Genomic DNA, 19,915 nt, shown 5'->3' with positions numbered 1-19,915 from the left:
TGCAGCCTTCGCCTCCTGGGTTCAAGCTATTCTTGTGCCTCAGCCTCCTAAGTAGCTGAGATTATAGGTGCCTGACACCACGCCCAGGCTAATTTTTGTATTTTTAGTAGAGATGAGGTTTCACCATCTCGAACCTGACCTGAGATCATCCTGACCTCGGGTGATCTCCCCTCCTTGGCTTCCCAAAGTATTGGGACTACAGGCGTGAGCCACTACGCCCTGCCCAAACCCAGGGAATTTCTTTAAGCTCCATCTTCTGCCTTTTGCTATGGCCCTAGATTCTCCTGCACTGCTTGGCTTTTTTGGATGGATGGCTTAGAGTAACAGCTGATGGCTGTTAAAATATTGTGAGTTCACCAACAATGAAAGAAATACAAATCGAAACAGCCTAAGATTGTTAAGATTCAGGCCAGGTGTGGTGGCTCACACATGTAATCCCAGCACTTTGGGAGGCCGAGGCAGGCAGATCACCTGAGACCAGGAGTTTGAGACCAACCTGGCCAACATGCTGAAACCTCATTTCTACTAAAAAATACAAAAATTAGCTGGATGTGGTTGTGCATGCCTGTAATTCCCAGCTACTGGGGAGGTTGAGGCAGGATAATCACTTGAACCCAGGAGGAAGTGGTTGCAGTGAGCCAAGATCGTGCCACTGCACTTGAGCCTGGGCAACAGAGTGAGATTCTGTCTCAAAATAAAAATAAAAAATAAGATTCTATCATGTACCTATACCTGATATGGTTTGGCTCAGTCACCACCCAAATCTCATCTTGAATTGTAATAATCCCCATGTGTCAAGGGCCGGGCCAGATGGAGATAACTGAATCATGGGGATGGTTTCCCCCATACTGTTCTCATGGGAGAGAGTAAGTTTCATGAGATCTGATGGTTTTATAAATGGGCGTTCCCCTACACAAACTCTCTTACCTGCTACCATGTAAGACATGACTTTGCTTCTCCTTTGCCTTCTGCCATGATTATGAGGCCTCCCCAGCCATGTGGAACTGTGAGTCAATTAAACCTCTTTTCTTTATAAATTATCCAGTCTCAAGTATGTCTTTATTAGCAGTGTGAGAACAGACTAATACAGTAACTATATCATTAATATACACAAATAAAGCAACAAAGCCTTATGTTGGCAGAGGCTGTGGAGAGGAAGGCAAGTGCAAACTTTGCTGATAGCATTTTAGGTACAGTCAACTCTTCTGCAGACTAACCAGGGAAGCAGTACATGAGCTGTATGTGCCCTTTGTTCCACTTTGGAACATACCTCAAGGACATAAGCTAAAGGAAAAATGTAGTAAGCAGTGAAGATTCTAGTACCACTATTTATAATGGCACAAAATGAAAACAATCCAAGTCCTGAGCTTTAAAGTAATTTTTAAATAATATCCAACTAACTGATTTGGAACGCTGTGTAACCATTAAAAATGATAACCAAGTGAACATGGAAACATATCTATGAAATAATGTTGAGTGAAAAAAGCAAAGCACACTAAGCGTCAGTGAGGGCATAGGAAAGTGGGAACCCTCAATATATTGTTGGTGGGAATATAAAATGGTACAGCCACTTTCGAAAACACAACCTGGAAGTTCCTCAAAAAGTTAAAAATAGAGTTATCGTTTGACAATGTCACTCCTAAGTATATGCCCAAGAGAAATGAAAACATATGTCCACACAAAAACTTGTACACAAATATTCATAACAGCACTACTCATAATAGTCAAAAGGTAGAAACAACTCAGATGTCCATTGGCTGATAAAATGATAAGCAAAAGGTGCTATACTTACACAATGGAGTATTATTTGGCCATAAAAAGGATAAAGTAGGTACATGCTTCAGCATGGATGAATCTTGAGAACATTATGCTAAGTGAAAGAAGGCAGTCACAAAAGACCACATGTTATATAAAACCATTTCTATGAGGGAGGATTCAGATGTGATAGTAAAAGGTACAGGGTTTCTTTTTGAGATGCTAAAAATGTCCTCAAATTGATGTGGTCATGGTTATACAACTCTGTGAATATACCAAAAACCACTGGATGTACACTTTAAGTGGGTGGATTGTATAGTATGTGAATTATATCCCAATAAAGCTATTACAAAAATTTTTTAAAATCATTAAATGGTATGTTTACAGTGGGTAAATTTTATGAAGAAATATATAACATACATACAAAAACTTCAATAAAGCTTTTTTTTTTTTTTTCTGAGACGGAGTCTCACTCTGTTGCTTGGGCTGGAGTGCAGTGGCGCAATCTCGGCTCACTGCCAGCTCCGCCTCCCAGGTTCATGCCGTTCTCCTGCCTCAGCCTCCTGAGTAGCTGGGACTACAGGCGCCCACCACCATGCCTGGCTAATTTTTTGTATTTTTAGTAGAGACGGGGTTTCACTGTGTTAGCCAGGATGGTCTCGATCTCCTGACCTCGTGATCCACCCGCCTTGGCCTCCCAAAGTGCTGGGATTACAGGTGTGAGCCACCACGCCCAGCCAAGCTATTTTAAAAAAAAAAAGAAAAAGAAAAGAAAAACACACTTGGGTGCGGTGGCTCACGCCTGTAATCCCAGCACTTTGGGAGGCCAAGGTGGGTGGATTACCTGAGGTCAGGAGTTAGAGACCAGCCTGACTAACACGGAGAAACCCCGTCTCTACTAAAAATACAAAAAAAATTAGCCGGGTGTGGTGGTGCATGCCTGTAATCCCAGCTACTCGGGAGGCTGAGGCAGGAGTATTGCTTGAACCCGGGAGGTGGAGGTTGCAGTGAGCCAAGATCGTGCCATTGCATTCCAGCCTGAGCAACAAGAGCAAAACTCCATCTCAACCAAAAAAAAAAAAAAAAAAAGAAAGGAAAGAAAAGCACAAACTAGTCACTGCTTTGTATGCATCTATATTTTTATAAAGTAACAAAGGCTGGAAGATACTGGGAGTCAGTGAAGGTATAACAGAAAGACACCAGATCTGCAATCTAAAGGCCTGGTTCCATTCCTCCTCATCCTGTTATTTTCTAACCATGTGACCTTGTTTGAGCCTTAGTTCTTTCATTTATAAAATACAGGTATTAGTTCCTACCTCACATGGTTATTTTGAGGCATAAAAATTTAGTGGGTTCATTTTCCTGCCCTTCAGAGTAGCTTAAGCAGGAGGTTAAAACAAGGTGGCAATAAAAGCACAATAACATATGTGAAAGGGATTTGAAAGTGCAATCTCCTATGAAAGAATAAGATAGTCTAGATCCTGATTATGCTTTTAGAAAATAGCATCAGCATAGCCTCAGCCTCAAAAAAAAAGGACCATCCTTTTGCCTGAGTGCTTTGAAAAATGCCTTTATAACTGGCCACGTGAAAATTAAGAAAAGCTTTCCACATTCTGAAAATGTACACTAGTTTTAAAGGAAATTTGGGGGTGACACAAAGGAGCTAAGGTGTGTTAATGCCAAGTTACCATAGCAACATGCATGGCTGCTCTATCCTTCCCAATCCTGGGCCTACCCCCAGATGGGATGATGAGCCTAGTAAACACCAGAACTACGCCATTCTACATGAAATTATCTTCTCCATATACAGACAGGGGAGGCATTCATGCTTTCCCACAAATAACATTTGAAAGGAGAAGCCCTAAATGTTTACAAAACAATCTCTTCTCCTTTCTCCAGAATCAGAATCAAGATCCTGTACACCCATTGCAATGCCTGGCATGTAGTAAGTATTCAACATATAGCTGTTTAATGAATGAATGGTCAGAATTTACCTAGAAGTCCAAGGTTGGAATAGAACACTATTGTTTATTAGGAAGAAGAGACTATTAAATTATAGGCCAGGAATTTCAGAAAGGAGATTTAAGTTCATACTCCACATAATTTGGTGTCTGTTCCAAGCCACACAGCATTTTCACATCTGTATCTTCCCTGTTTATTAAATTTCTTCAGCCCATAGCTAATTCCTCTCAAATATCATACTTGTTATTCAGAATGGACACAATGCGATTTTACCAGTGTTATTCAACCTGTTACAAGGCACACATTTTCAAAGGCTGTGCAGGAACAGTATGTGAAAATGGCTTCATGAATGTGCTGTCCTCCACCCTTCCAAGTTCTTGGCTTGATCTTGCTAGAGAATGGAGCCTAAGCGGGCCTGCATCTGGGTAAATTGTTTCCTCCTTGAAAAGGGCAGAGGCAAATGTCAGTAATGCCAAGAGGGCTGTTTTTGAAATCATTCTTGTGGGATTGGAAAGCCTCTCTCGACTCAGGAGCCAGGCTCTCAGTCCCACCACGGAGTCAGGCTTTGAAAGTAGCTCATATCTGCTTCCCCCATATAGTCTCACATTTTTGGCAGAACCTCTGGGTTCTTTCTCTCTTGGAAGACATTTCCTTCTTGTAATCTCCTCACTCTTTGTATGAAACCCCTGAGGTCAAAGGGGAAGAAGAGTAAGGTCTCTTCTTCATCACCAGATTTTCAAAGAACTGTTTCAAACCAACAGCAATAACAGCACCTGCCAACTGCCAATCGTTGGCACTTTGCAAACATTATCTAAGTTAATCTTCAAAAGTCCTTGGAATACTTGGAAGGCAAGTATTTTTTATTCCCATTTTATCTTTGAGGAAATCAAGGCTCAGAGAGATTTTAGTCAGTGGCTGAGCCATTATTTAAACTCAGGTCTAGCTGGCCGTGGTGGCTCATGCCTGTAATTCCAACATTGGAAGGTTAAAATGGGAGGATCGCTTGAGCCTAGGAGTTTGAGATGAGCCTGAGAAGCATAGCAAGACTATGTCTACAAAAAATAAAAAATAAAAAAGTAGCAGGGTATGGTGGCATGTGCCTATAGTCTTAGCTTCTCTGGAAGCTGAGGTGGGAGTACTGCTTGAGCCCAGGAGTTTAAGGTTACAGTGAGCTATGATTGCACCACTGTACTCCAGCCTGGATGACAGAGTAAGACCACCATATCTAAAAAACAAGCCAACAAACAAACTCAGGTCTGAGTATATGCTTTCATCTAAAATAGCTAAAAACAACAAAAGCAGCAATAACTTTTGCCAACATCACTCTGCACTAGAGAGTTTGGGGAGAGCCAAGGAAGAAAATCCTGGCTTGAACAATACCCTCATATTGCTTAGACCTTAATCATACTAATTTTAGACCTTAATTGTAGTAGCATATGTGTTGTGCTTGGTGGCAGTAGGAAAGGACTGAGCAGGAAATACCGGACCCAGATTCTGGCTGGTTAGAAAGAGTAACAGATACCAGAGGTGGCTCTGCTTCTAATGCTCTTTCATTTCTCTCTCTTTCCGTCCTTCAAGACCCATCTCTGTGAAAACTTTCCTGACCACCCACATGATCCCCAGCATTAATCCTTTATTTTGTGCTCCTGTTGAATTTTGTTACATCTCAGTTATAGCCCTTTCTTATCATATTTTATTTTAATATACATTTCCTAACTGGCTAGAGCACCTTGAGGCCAGTACCAGTGTCAAAGTCCTCTTTGTACCCAGCACCTTGAACAGTTCCTGGTTAATAAAGCCTCAAGTCAATGTTGCTACTCAATAAAACATGACCTTCTCTTTATCTTGGTTTTTCAATTTTGAACCAGTATCCTCACTTTCCCTACATTCTGACTTGGATGGAACTTACATTCTTCTTGGCTGCCCAGCGTCTGAGCCCCCTTCCTGTGTCTGGGGAAACTGCCATTGCATGAGACATGCTGGGAGGTAGAATGTGTCTTCCCCTGATGGAAGCTGGAAAACAGGCCAGACGGTTGGCCTCCTGGGTCCCTGGCAGCTGGCGCACAAGCATATGACCTAATCTTGGCCCCCCTGATATTACTGCCTGAGACTCTAAGTTTGAAGCAAATGACCCAAGAAACTCGGACGGTTTAGAATTTGTGCTGGTGGCAGCACTGGTGTCCACTGCTCAGTGGGAGAGGAAGCAGCATTTTCACCAGGATGTTTCTGAGGTGTGGTCTTCCCCATGGTTCTTTTTCAGTTCCTGTCCATTTTCCTAGCTTGATTCTCTAGACTGCTTATCAATTCTGTGATCATCCTGCTATCTCTTTAATAAACTCTTTTTTGACTAAGATAGTCAGAGTTAGCACCTGTTACAACAAAGAGCCCTGACTGATGGACTTGGTGGCCTCACAGTACATGGTCCTGGGTCCTGGGAAACCAAAGGCCCACTTCTTCCTGATTCAAAATCAAGGCAGAGATACAGAATTACTCCTTAGTTTGCCATACTTTTAACTTTTCACATTCATTATTACATTTCATCCTCACAACTCTAACAGTAGGCAAGTGGGGTGGGTAATAAAATGAGGTTTTAAAATGAGAAAAGTGAAGCTCAATTAGTCTAGATGGCTTCCCTGAGGTCCCCAAACTGATGGCAGAACTCAAACTACAATCCAAATCTTCTGATTCCCAGCCAAAGGCTCTTTATAGGTAAATAACACTGAATTAGTTATGTTTTGACTTTTAAAACATTCATCCAAAAATATTCATTAAGTATCCATTATGTGTCAATCATTGATGAGGACAACAGACTCCCTCTATTCTAGGCTCAATACTATGGTTTCTGAAAAGTACTGTAAGTATCAGTATAAATATGTATATTAATAATACTCTACATTTGGGAAAGAGTATAATACTGTTGTTAAACCTAAGCCAGGCTGCTTGGGACCAAGCCCTTGCTCCCCTCCTCACTGTTTGTGCATAGCACATGCTGTCAATGTTCTGCCCATAACCTCTCAGCCCTCCCCTGTGCACCCTGAAGTCTGCTTACTGAGAACCCTTGTGACTCACTGCCTGAAGAGCACGCTGGGGCCCTGTGCAAGGGAAGCTGGGATTTCCAGAGTTAATATCTGAGAAATAGTCCTCAAACAGTGACAGATGGAGATTTGGAGAGAAACACCCCAGCTTCCTTGCCTCTTGGGGGAAATACTTCAGAGGCATATTCCTCTCTGTCTTCCCACATTTCCCAGTGGGATTGAGCTCCAGGTACCCTCAGTGGTAACGTCTTTGATAGCACACACTTTATCGGCTCCTTCTCTTCTGCACCTCGCTTCCCCACTTTCTGACTGGGGTTTCCTAGGATCGTCCACCAAATAAACTACCTTTGCTTGAATCCTTTTCTCAACGTCCACTTCTGAGAGAACCCAAACCAAGACACCATGAGACCTTGGGACTATGACTCAATAAGGCCCTGTAAAATGAAGATTATATTTCCTGCCTCATAGAGAGACACGTTCATGACACCAAGTAGCCTAGCTCCTGGTTTCACATAATCAACACTCCCTGTTCACCACTGTTGTGTCTGTAGCACTGTTTGTTTTCAGAGCGCTTGCCCACATGTCTTCCTTCTCAATCAGAGGAGTTTCATCTCTTACCACCCCACCACACCTGCCTGGCTCCATGCCAGATGCAGTTCTTTACTTCAGCCCTGCCCTCCCGTTTACATGTGTCTGAGATGACCACATTCCTTCACGTATTTGTGACTCAGCACATGGTGCTCTCCTTGCCTGGGTATACTTCCTCCTCCCCACATTTATCTCCTGCCTATCAAGTTCCCGCCCCAGGTTGACCTCCTCTAGGAAGCTTTCCCCCATTCTCTTCCCTTCCTCTTCTCTTCTATCCACACCGTGCATGCCCACACACCCACACACTGGGGCATTCAAGGAGGGCACCTCACCCAGGCGTGCTCTCTCCATCACTGCATATGGACCTAGAACTGTAGTTATTGGGCTTTCCTACCTGCCTGCTTTGCTAGACTGTGAACATCTGTCTAGCAGGGACTGTATCTTTTATTTCTATATTGCTGGTGCATAGCCTAGTGCCCATCTCAAAAAATGTGAAATTTTTCAGTTGAGGAAACAGAGGCTTAAAAGTTTAATTGACCCCATTAGAGTTCATACAATTAATACATGGCAGAACAAGAACTCAAAACTGATCCCATGGCTTCAAAGTTGAACATTTTTCCTACAATATCATAGCTGTGAGGATTTTTGTGCTAGAGATGCACTGCATATTCTTCCCAACATCACATCTCTTCTTAGAAAATAAACTCCATCCACAGCCTTGGAAGAAGGGCAGTTTTCCATTCAAAATGACCCAGTCTCCAGCTATAGCTGACTGGCTAGGAGTGGACATCTGACCAAAGAGAGAGCCAAGTCAGACCATCTCTCCTGAGAATCTAGAGAGATAGGATCAGTTGGCTACAGGCACTGGACCTATATGGTGGCAGACAATAAGGGCAACAGAGGGTGACATTTTGGGACTTCCGTTTTGGGTCATGTCATCTGATGAGCTGTGAGAGTTGATCTACCATAAGAAGTATAGACAGAACACGGTGATGATGATGATGATGAGAGATACAGAAACAGGGAGACCATCTTCTTCCATTTCCAGTCCTTCATGAGGTTGGGTTCTGTGAGATATACTTAATCCTTCATAAATACATTTCCTGTCTCTTAAGCTAACTCAGTTTTTTCTCTGTCTTTGAACCATATACAAGATAGCCTGTTCTCTGCAACAGAGACAAACCCTGAAGGAGCTGAAGGCTGTCTGCTGACCATATTTCCCCTGACAGAATAGCAAGTCCTTCCTAGAAGGGGAATCTAGCCAATGGGTCTCCTTGTCTATGACACCAGGTGAGGGGTATGCCATGATTATGGTTAGAGCAACCCAGATAGTCACTAATGTGTTCACCTGAGGTCAGCAAATTCATGCTTTGCCACCTAAGAGTCTGTTTTTGAAAATAAAAATTTTAATTTCATCTTTTAAAAATTAGTTATGCATTAACATTACAGATTAAAATACACCTAAAGAGCAAATGAAAGATTTAATTATAAGCACGGTGATTTTAGTATTTACACAATTTGGCACCTATCTCTATACCTCTTATGATTATCTAGTGTATGTAATATTGTCTGGGTTCTTCTATACATCTCCCTTCAGCCATGAATGCAACACACAGTTATAACTATATGTGAGCCCGTTAAAGGGTAAGTCAGATCATGTCACATCTCCAACCATAAGGTGCCACATGATCTCGCCATCTGTTGTGTAACTTCTCTGATCCAATCTCCTATGACTTCCTCCCATGTGACATTGGCCTCCATCTTCCTTCAACATGCCAGGCACATACCCGTTTCATGGCTGGATTAGTTTTCTAGGGCTGCCATTGCAAAGTACCAAAAACTGAGTGGCTCAAAACAACAGAAATTTACTGTCTCACAGTTCCGGAGGTGAAAAGTGTTAACCAGGGCCATGCTCCCACTAAAACCTGTAGGAGAGAACTCTTGCCTGCCTCTTCTGAGATTCTGGCCATGGCTGTCAACTCTCGGCATTCCTTGGCTTGCAGTTGCATCCCTTAAATCTCTCTTTTGTCATCACACAGCATATTCCCTGTGTCTCTCTGTCTCTGTGTCCTCTCATAAAAACACCATTCATATTGGATTAGGTCCCACCCTAATGACCACATCTTCACTTGATCTGCAAAGACCCTGTCTTCAAATAAGGTCACATTTCACAGGTACCAGGGCTTAGGACTTCAACATATGTTTTGGCGACGGGAAATAATTCAACCCACAACAATGGCCTTTACAGTTATTTCTCTGCTTAGAATGCTTTTTCTTCAGTTGTCTACACTGTTCACCTTCTCTTGTGCTTCCGGTCTTTACTCAAATGTTACTTACTTGGCAAGGCCTTCCTTAGCCACCTTATCTGAAATCACAACATCTGTTCCCCAGCATTTGCTAGTCCCCTTCCCTGCTTTATTTTTCTCTTTACCACTTGTAATTAGCATATTATATGTTGTATTTCACGTATTCATATTGTCTCTTGTCTGTCTCCCCTGGTAGCATGAAAACTCCAGGAAAGCAGGGATTTTTGTGACTTTTGTTCATGGTTATGTTGCCAGCATGTACAATCAAGCCTGGCACAAAGGATACTTGTTGAACGTATAAAAGAATCTCCATGTCCAAAGCCCGATATTTAGAGCTCTAAGACTTTTGCAGCTTCACCAAGAGTCAGACCTTCTCCTATAGCCACAAGCTTTAACTTCCTAACAGGAAGCCAGATGTCGTAGTTCCCCACACTGAGGACTTAGAAAGAAAAACTTATCTCAGCCCCAAAGGTCTGGTTGTTGGAACTCCAGTCCACCAAGTATATTTGAAGGAAAAACAAGGCAGTGTCTCCCCTATCTGGTCTTTTGCTTAATTTATGAAACAAAACAGAAGGGCCTGGTGCGGTGGCTCACGCCTGTAATCCCAACATTTTGAGAGGTCGAGGCAGGCGGATCACCTGAGGCCAGGAGTTTGAGACCAGCCTGCCCAACGTGGTGAAACCCCGTCTCTACTAAAAATACAAAAATTAGCCAGGCGTGGTGTTGGGTCTGTAATCCCAGCTACCCGGGAGGCTGAGGCATGAGAATCCTTTGAACCCAGGAGGCGGAGGTTGCAGTGAGCTGAGATCATGCCACTGCACTCCAGCCTGGGCGACGGAGCGAGACTCTGTCTCAAAAAAAACAAACAAACAAACAAACAAACAAAAACAGAAGGAAAGGGATTAGGGCTAGGGAATCTCTGTTTGCCAAAATAGTCTTTCCCAGTCATAACCTTTCTGTCTACCTGATGAGTTTTCCGTCTTTGCCAGGCTTCCTTCTCTCTCCTCTGATGTAGATCTATGGTTTTGCGAGGTCCAGTATTATGAAGACCTTTATGTGCAGCGGCTCCTCTAGCAACTGGCACTCATCCAGCTACATCAGAGTTCTAACGGGACTCTTGGGTTGTAAAACTTTCAGCTTGTGGTCTTGTGATGTTTATTTTGTGTCAACCTGGCTGAGCTGCAATGCCCGGATATTGGTCAAACATTATTCTGGATGTTTCTGTGAAAGTGTTTTAGATGAAATTAACATTTAATTTATTGGACTTTGAGGAAACCAGATTGCCCTTCATAATGTGGGTGTGCCTTATCCAATCAGTTGAAGGCCTAACTGGAACAAAAGACTCACCTCCTCTGAGCAAGAGGAAATTCTTTCAGCAGGCGGCCTTCAGCCTTGAACTGCAACATTAATTCTTTCTGGGTTCTGCAGACTGCTCGCCTGCCTTGCAGATTTTGGACTTGCCATCTGCTATGGTTTGGATATGGTTGGTTGTCTCCACCAAAGCTTATGCTGAATTTGATCCTCAGTGTGCTGGTGTTGGGAGGTGGGGACTAGTGGAAGGTATTTGGATTATGGGGACAGCGCTCATGAATGGCTTTGTGATGTTCTCAAGTTAGTCCGTTCTCGCTGTCAGGCAACTGAACTGGTTCTCATAGCAATGATTAGTTCCTGTGAAAGTGGGTTGCTATAATGCCAGGACGCTCCCCTGGCTTCCCCTGTTTGCATGTGTCTGCTTCCGGCTTGACCTTCTCCAACATGTTGTGATGCTGCATGAAAGCTCTCGCCAGAAGCCAAGGCCATGCCTTTGAATTTCTTATCCTGCAGAAGTGTGAGCCAAATAAACCTCTTTTCTTTACAGATTACCCAGTTTCAGATTTTCTTTTTTTTCTTTTTTTTTTTAAGTACAGAATACACGCTGGATCAAATATTCTTTTGAAGCAACAGAAAACAGACTAAGACATCATCCTCTATAATTGCATGAGTCAATTCTTTAACATCTCTTTAGTGCTCTTTTTACACACACACATACATGAATCCTGTTGGTTCCATTTTTCTGGAGAACCCTGACTAATACAAATTTTATCAGCATTTTTCACAGAAATATTTATTTTAAACAACAGTGGAACAGAATTTCATGATGTTTTCTGACCAAGGTTGATATAATCTGCTTCCACTGAAAAAGCAAAACCCAGGCAGCATGTTTCCCCTGGTTCTGGGGCTCCAGTCATAAAACTGAGAGCTTTTTAGAGAGTGGGGTTTACAAAGGATACAGAGGATAGAGTTCCAGAGGATGAAGAAACTCTTGTTTATTACTTACAGACCATGCTCAGTCCCAGAAAAGACAGCATAGAAAAATGTTTACTTCCTCCAATAATCAAGAAGCCAAGAAAGATTTACTGAGTTGTGACAGAAGGGAAGGAAGAGAATGATTTCCTTGGCCTCCTGAATAACTTCAGTTCAGGAATTTTTTTTTTTTTTTTTTTTTTTTTTGAGACGGAGTTTCACTCTTGTTGCCCAGGCTAGAGTGCAATGGTGCAATCTTGGCTCACCACTACCTCCATCTCCCAGGTTGAAGCGATTCTTCTGCCTCAGCCTCCTGAGTAGCTGGGATTACAGGCATGTGCCACCACACCTGGCTAATTTTTGTATTTTTAGTGGAGATGGGTTTGTCAGGCTGGCCTCGAACTCCTGACCTCAGGTGATCCACCTGCCTCGGACTCCCAAAGTGCTGGGATTACAGGCATGAGCCACCACGCCCGGCCAGATCAGGATCTTAATTGAAAAGTAGAACTATTTTCTTTATCTGGTTTTGCCATGGACTAGTTGTGTGATCTAGTGAGACACTTCCTTTCTCTGGGCCTTCATTTTCTCACTGCTAAAATGAAGCATTTGAATTAGACAGTGTCTTTAGTCTCTTTCAACCACACCAGCCTATGTTGCCCTAATCTTTTTTTTTTTTTTTTTTTTTTTTTTTTTGAGATGGAGTCTTGCTCTGTCACCCAGGCTGGAGTGAAGTGGCACAATCTTGGCTCACTGCAACCTCCACCTCCCAGGTTCAAGCGATTCTCCTGCCTCAGCCTCCCGAGTAGCTGGGACTACCAGCACCTGCCACCACGCCCGGCTAATTTTTGTATTTTTAGTAGAGACAGGATTTCATCATGTTAGCCAGGCTGGTCTCGAACTCCTGACCTCAAGTGATCTGCCTACAGTGCAACATAGTGGGGTAAAAAGTTATTTAAACCAACTCTGTGCCCCTGAGGGTCTGACCATTTTGTCAGGGGGACAGGAAATGTTGTATTCTGTTAAATACAGCAGAAAGGATCCTCTGCAGAGCCTGGTCAGTGGTACTTATAGTCTAAGTCTCACAGGTTCCAAGGTTTGTGGGTAGATCTGAGAAACAGAGGGCCAGCTGAGAGAACTCTTGTCTTCCTAACTCTTTCACTCCATCACCCTGAGACTTTCTCTCTCTCTGTCTAGAGTTGACCAAAAAGTGCAGCATCATCTTTGGTTGTCCTGTGTACCCCCTAGAGCCACAGGGAGGTAAAAAATAAACTGCTCTCTGCTCTTCTTTCCTGCCCCAGATTCTCTAGCCAAGTCAGACTTCTCCCAGCTCAAGTGGAGAATTACTCTGTATCAGCTGACTCCCTGAAAGTCAGCTGACTAAATGGTGTTCTATCCTCATTTTAAAGCAGCCTAGAAAAAATTGAATTTATGGAGAATCTCTCTGAGTCAGTGCTCAGAAAAACCTCTACATGTCAGTCTATTTAATTTTTTTTTGTTTTGTTTTTGTTTGTTTGTTTCTTTGAGACGGCATCTCCCTCTGCCACCCAGGCTGCAGTGCAGTGGCACGATCTTGGCTCACTGCAACCTCTGCTTCCCGGGTTCAAGCGATTCTCCTGCCTCAGCCTTCTAAGTAGCTGGGATTACAGGTGCCTCCCACCATGCCTGGCTAATTTTTGTATTTTTAGTAGAGATGGGGTTTCACCATGTTGGCCATTGTTTGCCAGGCTGGTCTTGAACTCCTGACCTCAGGTGATCCACCTGCCTTGGCCTCCCAAAGTGCTGGGATTACAGGCATGAGCCACTGTGCCTAGCCATTCTATTTGATTTTATGAAGACTTTCAGCTTTTAGATCAGAGGAGCTGCCTCCCCATTCTGAAAAAAAAGGTGAATGTGGCTTTGGACCAGGAGACAGGCTGACTTGTCTCTGGTTCCAGTTGCATCACTTAGGGACACTGGATGTTTGGCATGTAATTTCTGCTCTCTGAGCTTTGGTCATCTCCTCTGTAAAGAGAGGACTGTAACAACAGTGCAACACTCCCTACCTGCCCTCCACGCACCCCACCCTCCACCTCAGGGTTGTTCTGAGAATTAAATGAGATCATCTATGTGACGATATTCTACACTACGCAAATGTAAGTTCCCTTTATCAGATTTCAGATTTGATGAGTCATTTCAGACATTAGTTCTTGACATATTTCCTTCACTTAACCCCACCACTAATTATTTCTTCTTTTTTCCTTTTCTTATTTCCTGTAGAAATTATAAAATTGGTCCTCTGCATACCTCTTGATGAAGTCTACCCCTATACCTTATCTAACATCTTTCTGGCTCCATTCCCCATTCCCACTTAGATCTGCCAGGTCTCACTCCCTCATTGTGTCAGTAATTATTCAGAAAGTCTTCTCCCAGCCCACACTATCACCATGCACAGCTGCATATCTGACAGTGACATACTTCATGTTCGATCTAGTTGTAGTCATATATAGAAACCCAAATAATGATGGAATAAGAGTTAAGTCATGTGTTCCAGAATTAGCATTATCATTGATTATCTAGTGGGCTTCAGGCCATTCAGTTAAACAAACATCTATTCAGGTCAGGGGGTGGAGGAGATGTTCCCTGCTGTGCAGAAACTCAAAATTTTTAAGTCACACAGATTTGTAAACCTCCAATTATGAATAATGAAGTGGTACACACATACAAAAATATTATTGGCACATTGGGGAAGGAACAATTTGATGTGCCTTTGAAGGCTGTAGAAAGCACCACTGCAGAGAGGAGGTGACATCTGAGCTTGGTCTTGAATGATGGATGTCTAAGATTTTAAAGTCCAAGAAGGAGACCAGGTTGAAGGAGGAACATTAACAGATGAACAGAATAGCTAGATGAAGGAATGGCAAGAGTTCGGTGTGACCGGAGCACAGAATGCACAGTGGGGAGAATAGGAGATAAGGCTAGAAGGAACACTGGGCTGAAGTCATGTAGGATCTAATGTGCCAGGTTCATATATCTGGGCTTTGTTCTATCCAGCCCTTCCCAATCAGGATTCCACCAGAAAAATTAAGCCCTGATGACTTAAGACATCTATCATACAAATAAATTTCTCTCCCCTGTACACCTAGAATGGTATTAACTATGTACCATCCTGGAAAGACCTGAAATAGTCACTCAGATAATTTTCTGGAGGGCTTGGTTCTCACATGGAAGCCCAGGAGAGAAAGCCTGCTAGGCAGTGCAAGCCATCCAACATTTATAGAAAGCAAGTGACATCTTCACGTCATAGAAACACTGCTTGGGTGGCAATGAGAAGAGTGCTTTAGAAATAGTACAGGCAGAGGATAAGTGGTTAACTAAACTGCTGTTGCAATAATTCAGGTGGGTGACAACCAGGGCTCAGGGTGGTGACAGTAGAAATGGAGGTAAAGGACACCTTAGAGACATTTGGGAGGCAGAATAGATGGTGTTCTTTAGTGCTGTCTTCCCCAGCTCTTTGGCTATGATATGAAATCACCAGCTCCCTCCAGCTTCAGGCTGGAACCTTCCTAAAGAGGGCAAGAAGTGGCTGGGTGCAGTGACACACGCTTGTAATCCCAGCACTTTGGGAGGCCAAGGCAGGCAAATCACTTGAGGTCAGGAGTTCGAGACCAGCCTGGCCAACATGGTGAAACCCTGTCCGTATCGAAAATACAAAAATTAGCCGGGTGTGGTGGCATACGTCTATAGTCCTAACTACCTGGGAGGCTGAGGCAGGAGAATCGCTTGAACCAAGGAGGCAGAGGTTGTGGTGAGCCAAGATCATGCCACTGCTCTCCAGTCTGGGCGACAGAGCTAGACTCCATTTCAAAAAAAAAAAAAAGAGGGCAGAAGTGCACCAGCCACAACTCAGCATGGGGGTGGGGTGTGCTGCCACTGCTCTGGACCTTATCACATCTCTGGTGAACTCTGCACACCCTGATAGCCTCAAGTTGTGACTTTTCTTCACACCCCCTCACCCTCCTGGGCATGTTGGTCCAGTCTTCACAACTGACCTTCAGCCTCATTCTTCTCCCCAGCCACACATTTCAAAAGTGCTACCCTGAACTCCACACTGCCTGGCTGGGTTCCTGACGCTTTGCTTCCCTAACCCAACTCATTCTTCCAAGGAGCTGGATCCACTCCCTGTGCTCCACCCCAGCCCTAGGAGTCCTACAGCTGATGCAGCATTGCCAGCTCCAGTCCTGCTCATTCCCAGCTTCCTCCCTATGGGCCATGTGGCTGAGGTCTTATCATGCCTTATAACTAAACTGACCGGAATTTAGGCACGTCATCACCAAGCCTCATCTGGGGCCTGTTTTCTCATTTGTAATGTGTGGGGATTGTACTAGGTGACTTCTAAAGGATCTCCCTTCCAACACTAACATCCTGTGTTTCTAAGTAGGCCAACTGTAAAAGAAGTCTGCATTGGCACAGAACAATTGAGGCTGGGAGCAAGTGAGTCAGACTCAGCAGAAATGTCAAGCTCACTGTGGAGCCAGGAGATCAGAGTGCAGCATGCCACTGGGCAGACAGGAGCCAGGGCCTTGAGCCAGAGATTAGCCTACCCAGACAGCTGTGCGGACGAGATGACGGATGCCATGGCTTGCTTATTAGTCACATTGGTGTTCAAGGAATTAACCACTTCATTTTGTGCCCTCCAAAGGATAACATTCATTTATGACCTAAAGCTATTTAGCAGGGAGTTTGTAATTCTACCTTTCTCACAGTTACTGCTGGTGATTTAGGATTCAATATTATCCCATTACTATTTTGTCCATTTGCTTGAAATTGCCATCCAATGGGCATTCACTGACCATCTAGTTTTACTCTCAAGACTTCCTAAGTCCCTCTCAGATGCCTCTCAGTGTGTGTGAAAGAAAGGGCACAGACCTTTGGAGACCTACATTTGAACCCCACAGCTACTTACTAGTCATGTGGTTCTGGAAAAGTTAATCTCTGAAGAGTGTGTGTGTGTGTGTGTGTGTGTGTGTGTGTGTGAGAGAGAGAGAGAGAGACAGAGACAGAGTCTTGCTAGAGAGAGAGAGAGACAGAGTCTTGCTCTGTCACCCAGGCTGGAGTGCAGTGGCACGATCATGGCTCACTGCATCCTTCGCCTCCCTGGTTCAAGCAATTCTCCTGCCTCAGCCTCCCGAATAGCTGGGACTACAGGCGCGTGCCACCATGCCCAGCTAATTTTTGTATTCTTATTAGAGACAGGGTTTCACCATGTTGGCCAGACGGGTCTTAAACTCCTGACCTCAGGTGATCCACCCACCTTGGCCTCCCAAAGTGTTGGGATTATAGGCATGAGCCACCGCACCTGACTAATCTCTGAACTTTTGATTCCCCATGTGTGAAATGGGATAATAATAATACCTGCCTTGCAGATTTGTAGCCCAGGTTAAAGTGTCTACTATACGGGAGGTTCTCAGTAAAGAAGTTCTCCTTTACAGAAACCCTGCTGTTTTGCATGTCTTGAAATCTCTGCCTTCAGGATTGTTTCTCTTAGGTTTGCCTGGCCCTTTCCTCTCTTTCTTCCTTAAGCCTGCAAGGTCCCTGCTGGTCCACACAAGTTTCTGCTCCAATTCCAGACCTGCAGCATGCTGAGTCAGCACTAGCACTTCCTAGCGTAGGGGCTTTTCTCCACCCCATCATGGCTGAGCAATCACAAGCCAAGAAAATCTTGATCAGAAGATAAGATCATAGCTAAAGGCTCTGAGAGCTCCATTGTCTCAGCTTCAGATGCTGTTATATAGAAGATTAAAACCCCAGTACTGTGACTCAGTGAGGGCCCAGTTAGGAGATTACAAGACACAGTGCTGAAGGGTTAAAGGTGATAAAGTAAGGATGCCTTCAAGCTACTGAGTATAGGAATTAGCTGTGGGCACACATCTCTGGCAGGCTAGGGACTAACCTTCCTGGTTCCTTCTTTCAAAGAGATGCTAGTGTCAGGGACTAGTACAGACATGGGTTGCAGGGCCTTAGAGATCTTTTGTTTACCCTCTTTTACACAAATGGAGAAACTGAGGCCCACAAGCAGGAATTAACTTGCCCAGATTTATATAAAGAGAAAAAGCCATAAATGCATTCAAATGCAGGACTCAACTCTATGTTCCAACTGTTTCTATTATCCTATGATAAAATAGTGATTGTTAAAATTCAATGCATTGGGGACACTCACTAAACTTGACTCTTAAATAAGAAGTGTGGGGAATGTTGTTAACAGGATTTCTAGCAGGAGAGCATTCACTTTTTCATCAAATATTTATTGAGTCCTAGAAGGTAAGTAATGGCCAAATTGTTAAGGGTATAAGAGGATATGCTTAGGCGTGTGGTTTTTATTTTGTAGGCAACAGTCCGTCAAAGATTTCAGAGAAGAGGATTAACATGATCAGCTTTAAAGAGAGCATGCTAGCAGCAGAGGAGAGGATTGGAAGGTGTCAAATTAGATGCCCAAGGACTTAGGGGGCTTTTAGAGTAGTCCTGGCAAGAGATGATTGATGGAGATCTAAAGAAGGGCAGTGGCAGTAAGGACAGAGAGCAAGCAGAGCCAAAGGCCATTTCTTCTTTTTCTTTTATTATTCTGAATTGACATATAATAATTGTACATATTTATGAAGTACAGGGTGATATTTTGATACAAGTATACCATGTGTAATGATCGGGTCAGGGTAGTTAGCATAGCCATCACCTCAGACGTTTCTCATTTCTTCATGTTGGGAACATTCAAAATTCACTCTTCTGACTATTTGAAAATACACAATCATTGTTGTTAATTATAGTCATGCTACAGTGCTGTAGAACACTAGAACTTCCTCCTTTTTAGCTGCACTGTTGTATTTGTTAACCAACCTTTGGCTATTCCCCCTCTGCTCTACCCTTCCCCACCTCTAGTAACCATTATTCCACTCTCTACTTCCATGAGATCAACGTTTTACGTTTCTACATATAAATGAGAACCTGCCAAACACCATTTCTTAAATGCGGTTAATGGGACTTGGTGGTCAGTGGAAGGGCCGAGTAGAGCAGGAGGCTGGGCCCCAGGCCAGTCCAAGCATAGCTTTTCAAGACTCCAGATTCCTGCCTAGGGTCCCAGGCTCACCAGGCAGTCTTCACTCATGGCAGGGCAGCTATTTGATGGCCACTGGGCAGGCTACAGACTGCAAACCCTCACTGAAATCCTGACTGTGCAACAAACCAAGGGCATCTGTTTCCCAGCAAAGATGCTTGGTCAAGACAGGGAGTTAAGGAGTCTTATTAAAAGTTGTTTACCTAGAGACTTTCAATTAAGGGCAGAAATTATTAAAGATTAAACTTCTTAGTTTCTACAGCTTCTCTGGCTAATTAAAGTTTTCTGGTAAGAAGGTAAGTGGCATCCTCTACTCGCTATGGAGGTCATGTAGTGTAATAGTTAATAACATAAAATTCAGCCGGACTCGGTGGCTCAAGACGCAGTGGCTCACACCTGTTATCCCAACAATTTGGGAGGCCGAGGTGGGTGGATGACTTGACACCAGGAGTTTGAGACCAGCCTGGCTAACATGGTGAAACCCTGTCTCTATTAAAAATAGAAAAATTAGCCAGGCATGGTGGCACGTGCCTGTAGTCCCAGCTACTCAGGAGGAGGCTGAGGTGGGATAATAATTTGAACCAAGGAGGGGGAGGTTGCAATGAGCCAAGATTGTGCCACTGCATTCCAGTTTGGGCCACAGAATGAAAAAAAAACCCAAAAAACATAAAGCGGCGGGGCGCGGTGGCTGACGCCTGTAATCCCAGCATTTTGGGAGGCCGAGGTGGGCGGATCACGAGGTCAGGAGATGGAGACCATCCTGGCTAACACAGTGAAACCCCGTCTCTACTAAAAATACAAAAGTTAGCCGAGCATGGTGGCGGATGCCTGTAATCCCAGCTACTCAGGAGGCTGAGGCAGGAGAATGGCGTGAACCCAGGAGGCAGAGCTTGCAGTGAGCC

General features: G+C 43.8%; 3 annotated features.

Annotated features, from left to right (window-relative positions):
• Positions 6,641 to 6,915: a transcriptional cis regulatory region, noted in NCBI's record as "candidate enhancer chr11.4687 targeted for multiplex CRISPR interference". NCBI's record gives its function as "positively regulates PICALM gene expression in K562 cells {active_cell/tissue: K562}" and the evidence as "EXISTENCE:mutant phenotype evidence [ECO:0000015][PMID:30612741]".
• Positions 13,818 to 14,527: a transcriptional cis regulatory region, noted in NCBI's record as "candidate enhancer chr11.4685 targeted for multiplex CRISPR interference". NCBI's record gives its function as "positively regulates PICALM gene expression with high confidence in K562 cells {active_cell/tissue: K562}" and the evidence as "EXISTENCE:mutant phenotype evidence [ECO:0000015][PMID:30612741]".
• Positions 15,723 to 16,220: a transcriptional cis regulatory region, noted in NCBI's record as "candidate enhancer chr11.4684 targeted for multiplex CRISPR interference". NCBI's record gives its function as "positively regulates PICALM gene expression with high confidence in K562 cells {active_cell/tissue: K562}" and the evidence as "EXISTENCE:mutant phenotype evidence [ECO:0000015][PMID:30612741]".

This window comes from Homo sapiens, chromosome 11 (assembly GCF_000001405.40).
Source record: "Homo sapiens chromosome 11, GRCh38.p14 Primary Assembly".
In the NCBI taxonomy this organism is placed as follows: Eukaryota; Metazoa; Chordata; class Mammalia; order Primates; family Hominidae; genus Homo; species Homo sapiens.
This window is presented reverse-complemented; position numbering and strand designations above follow the sequence as displayed.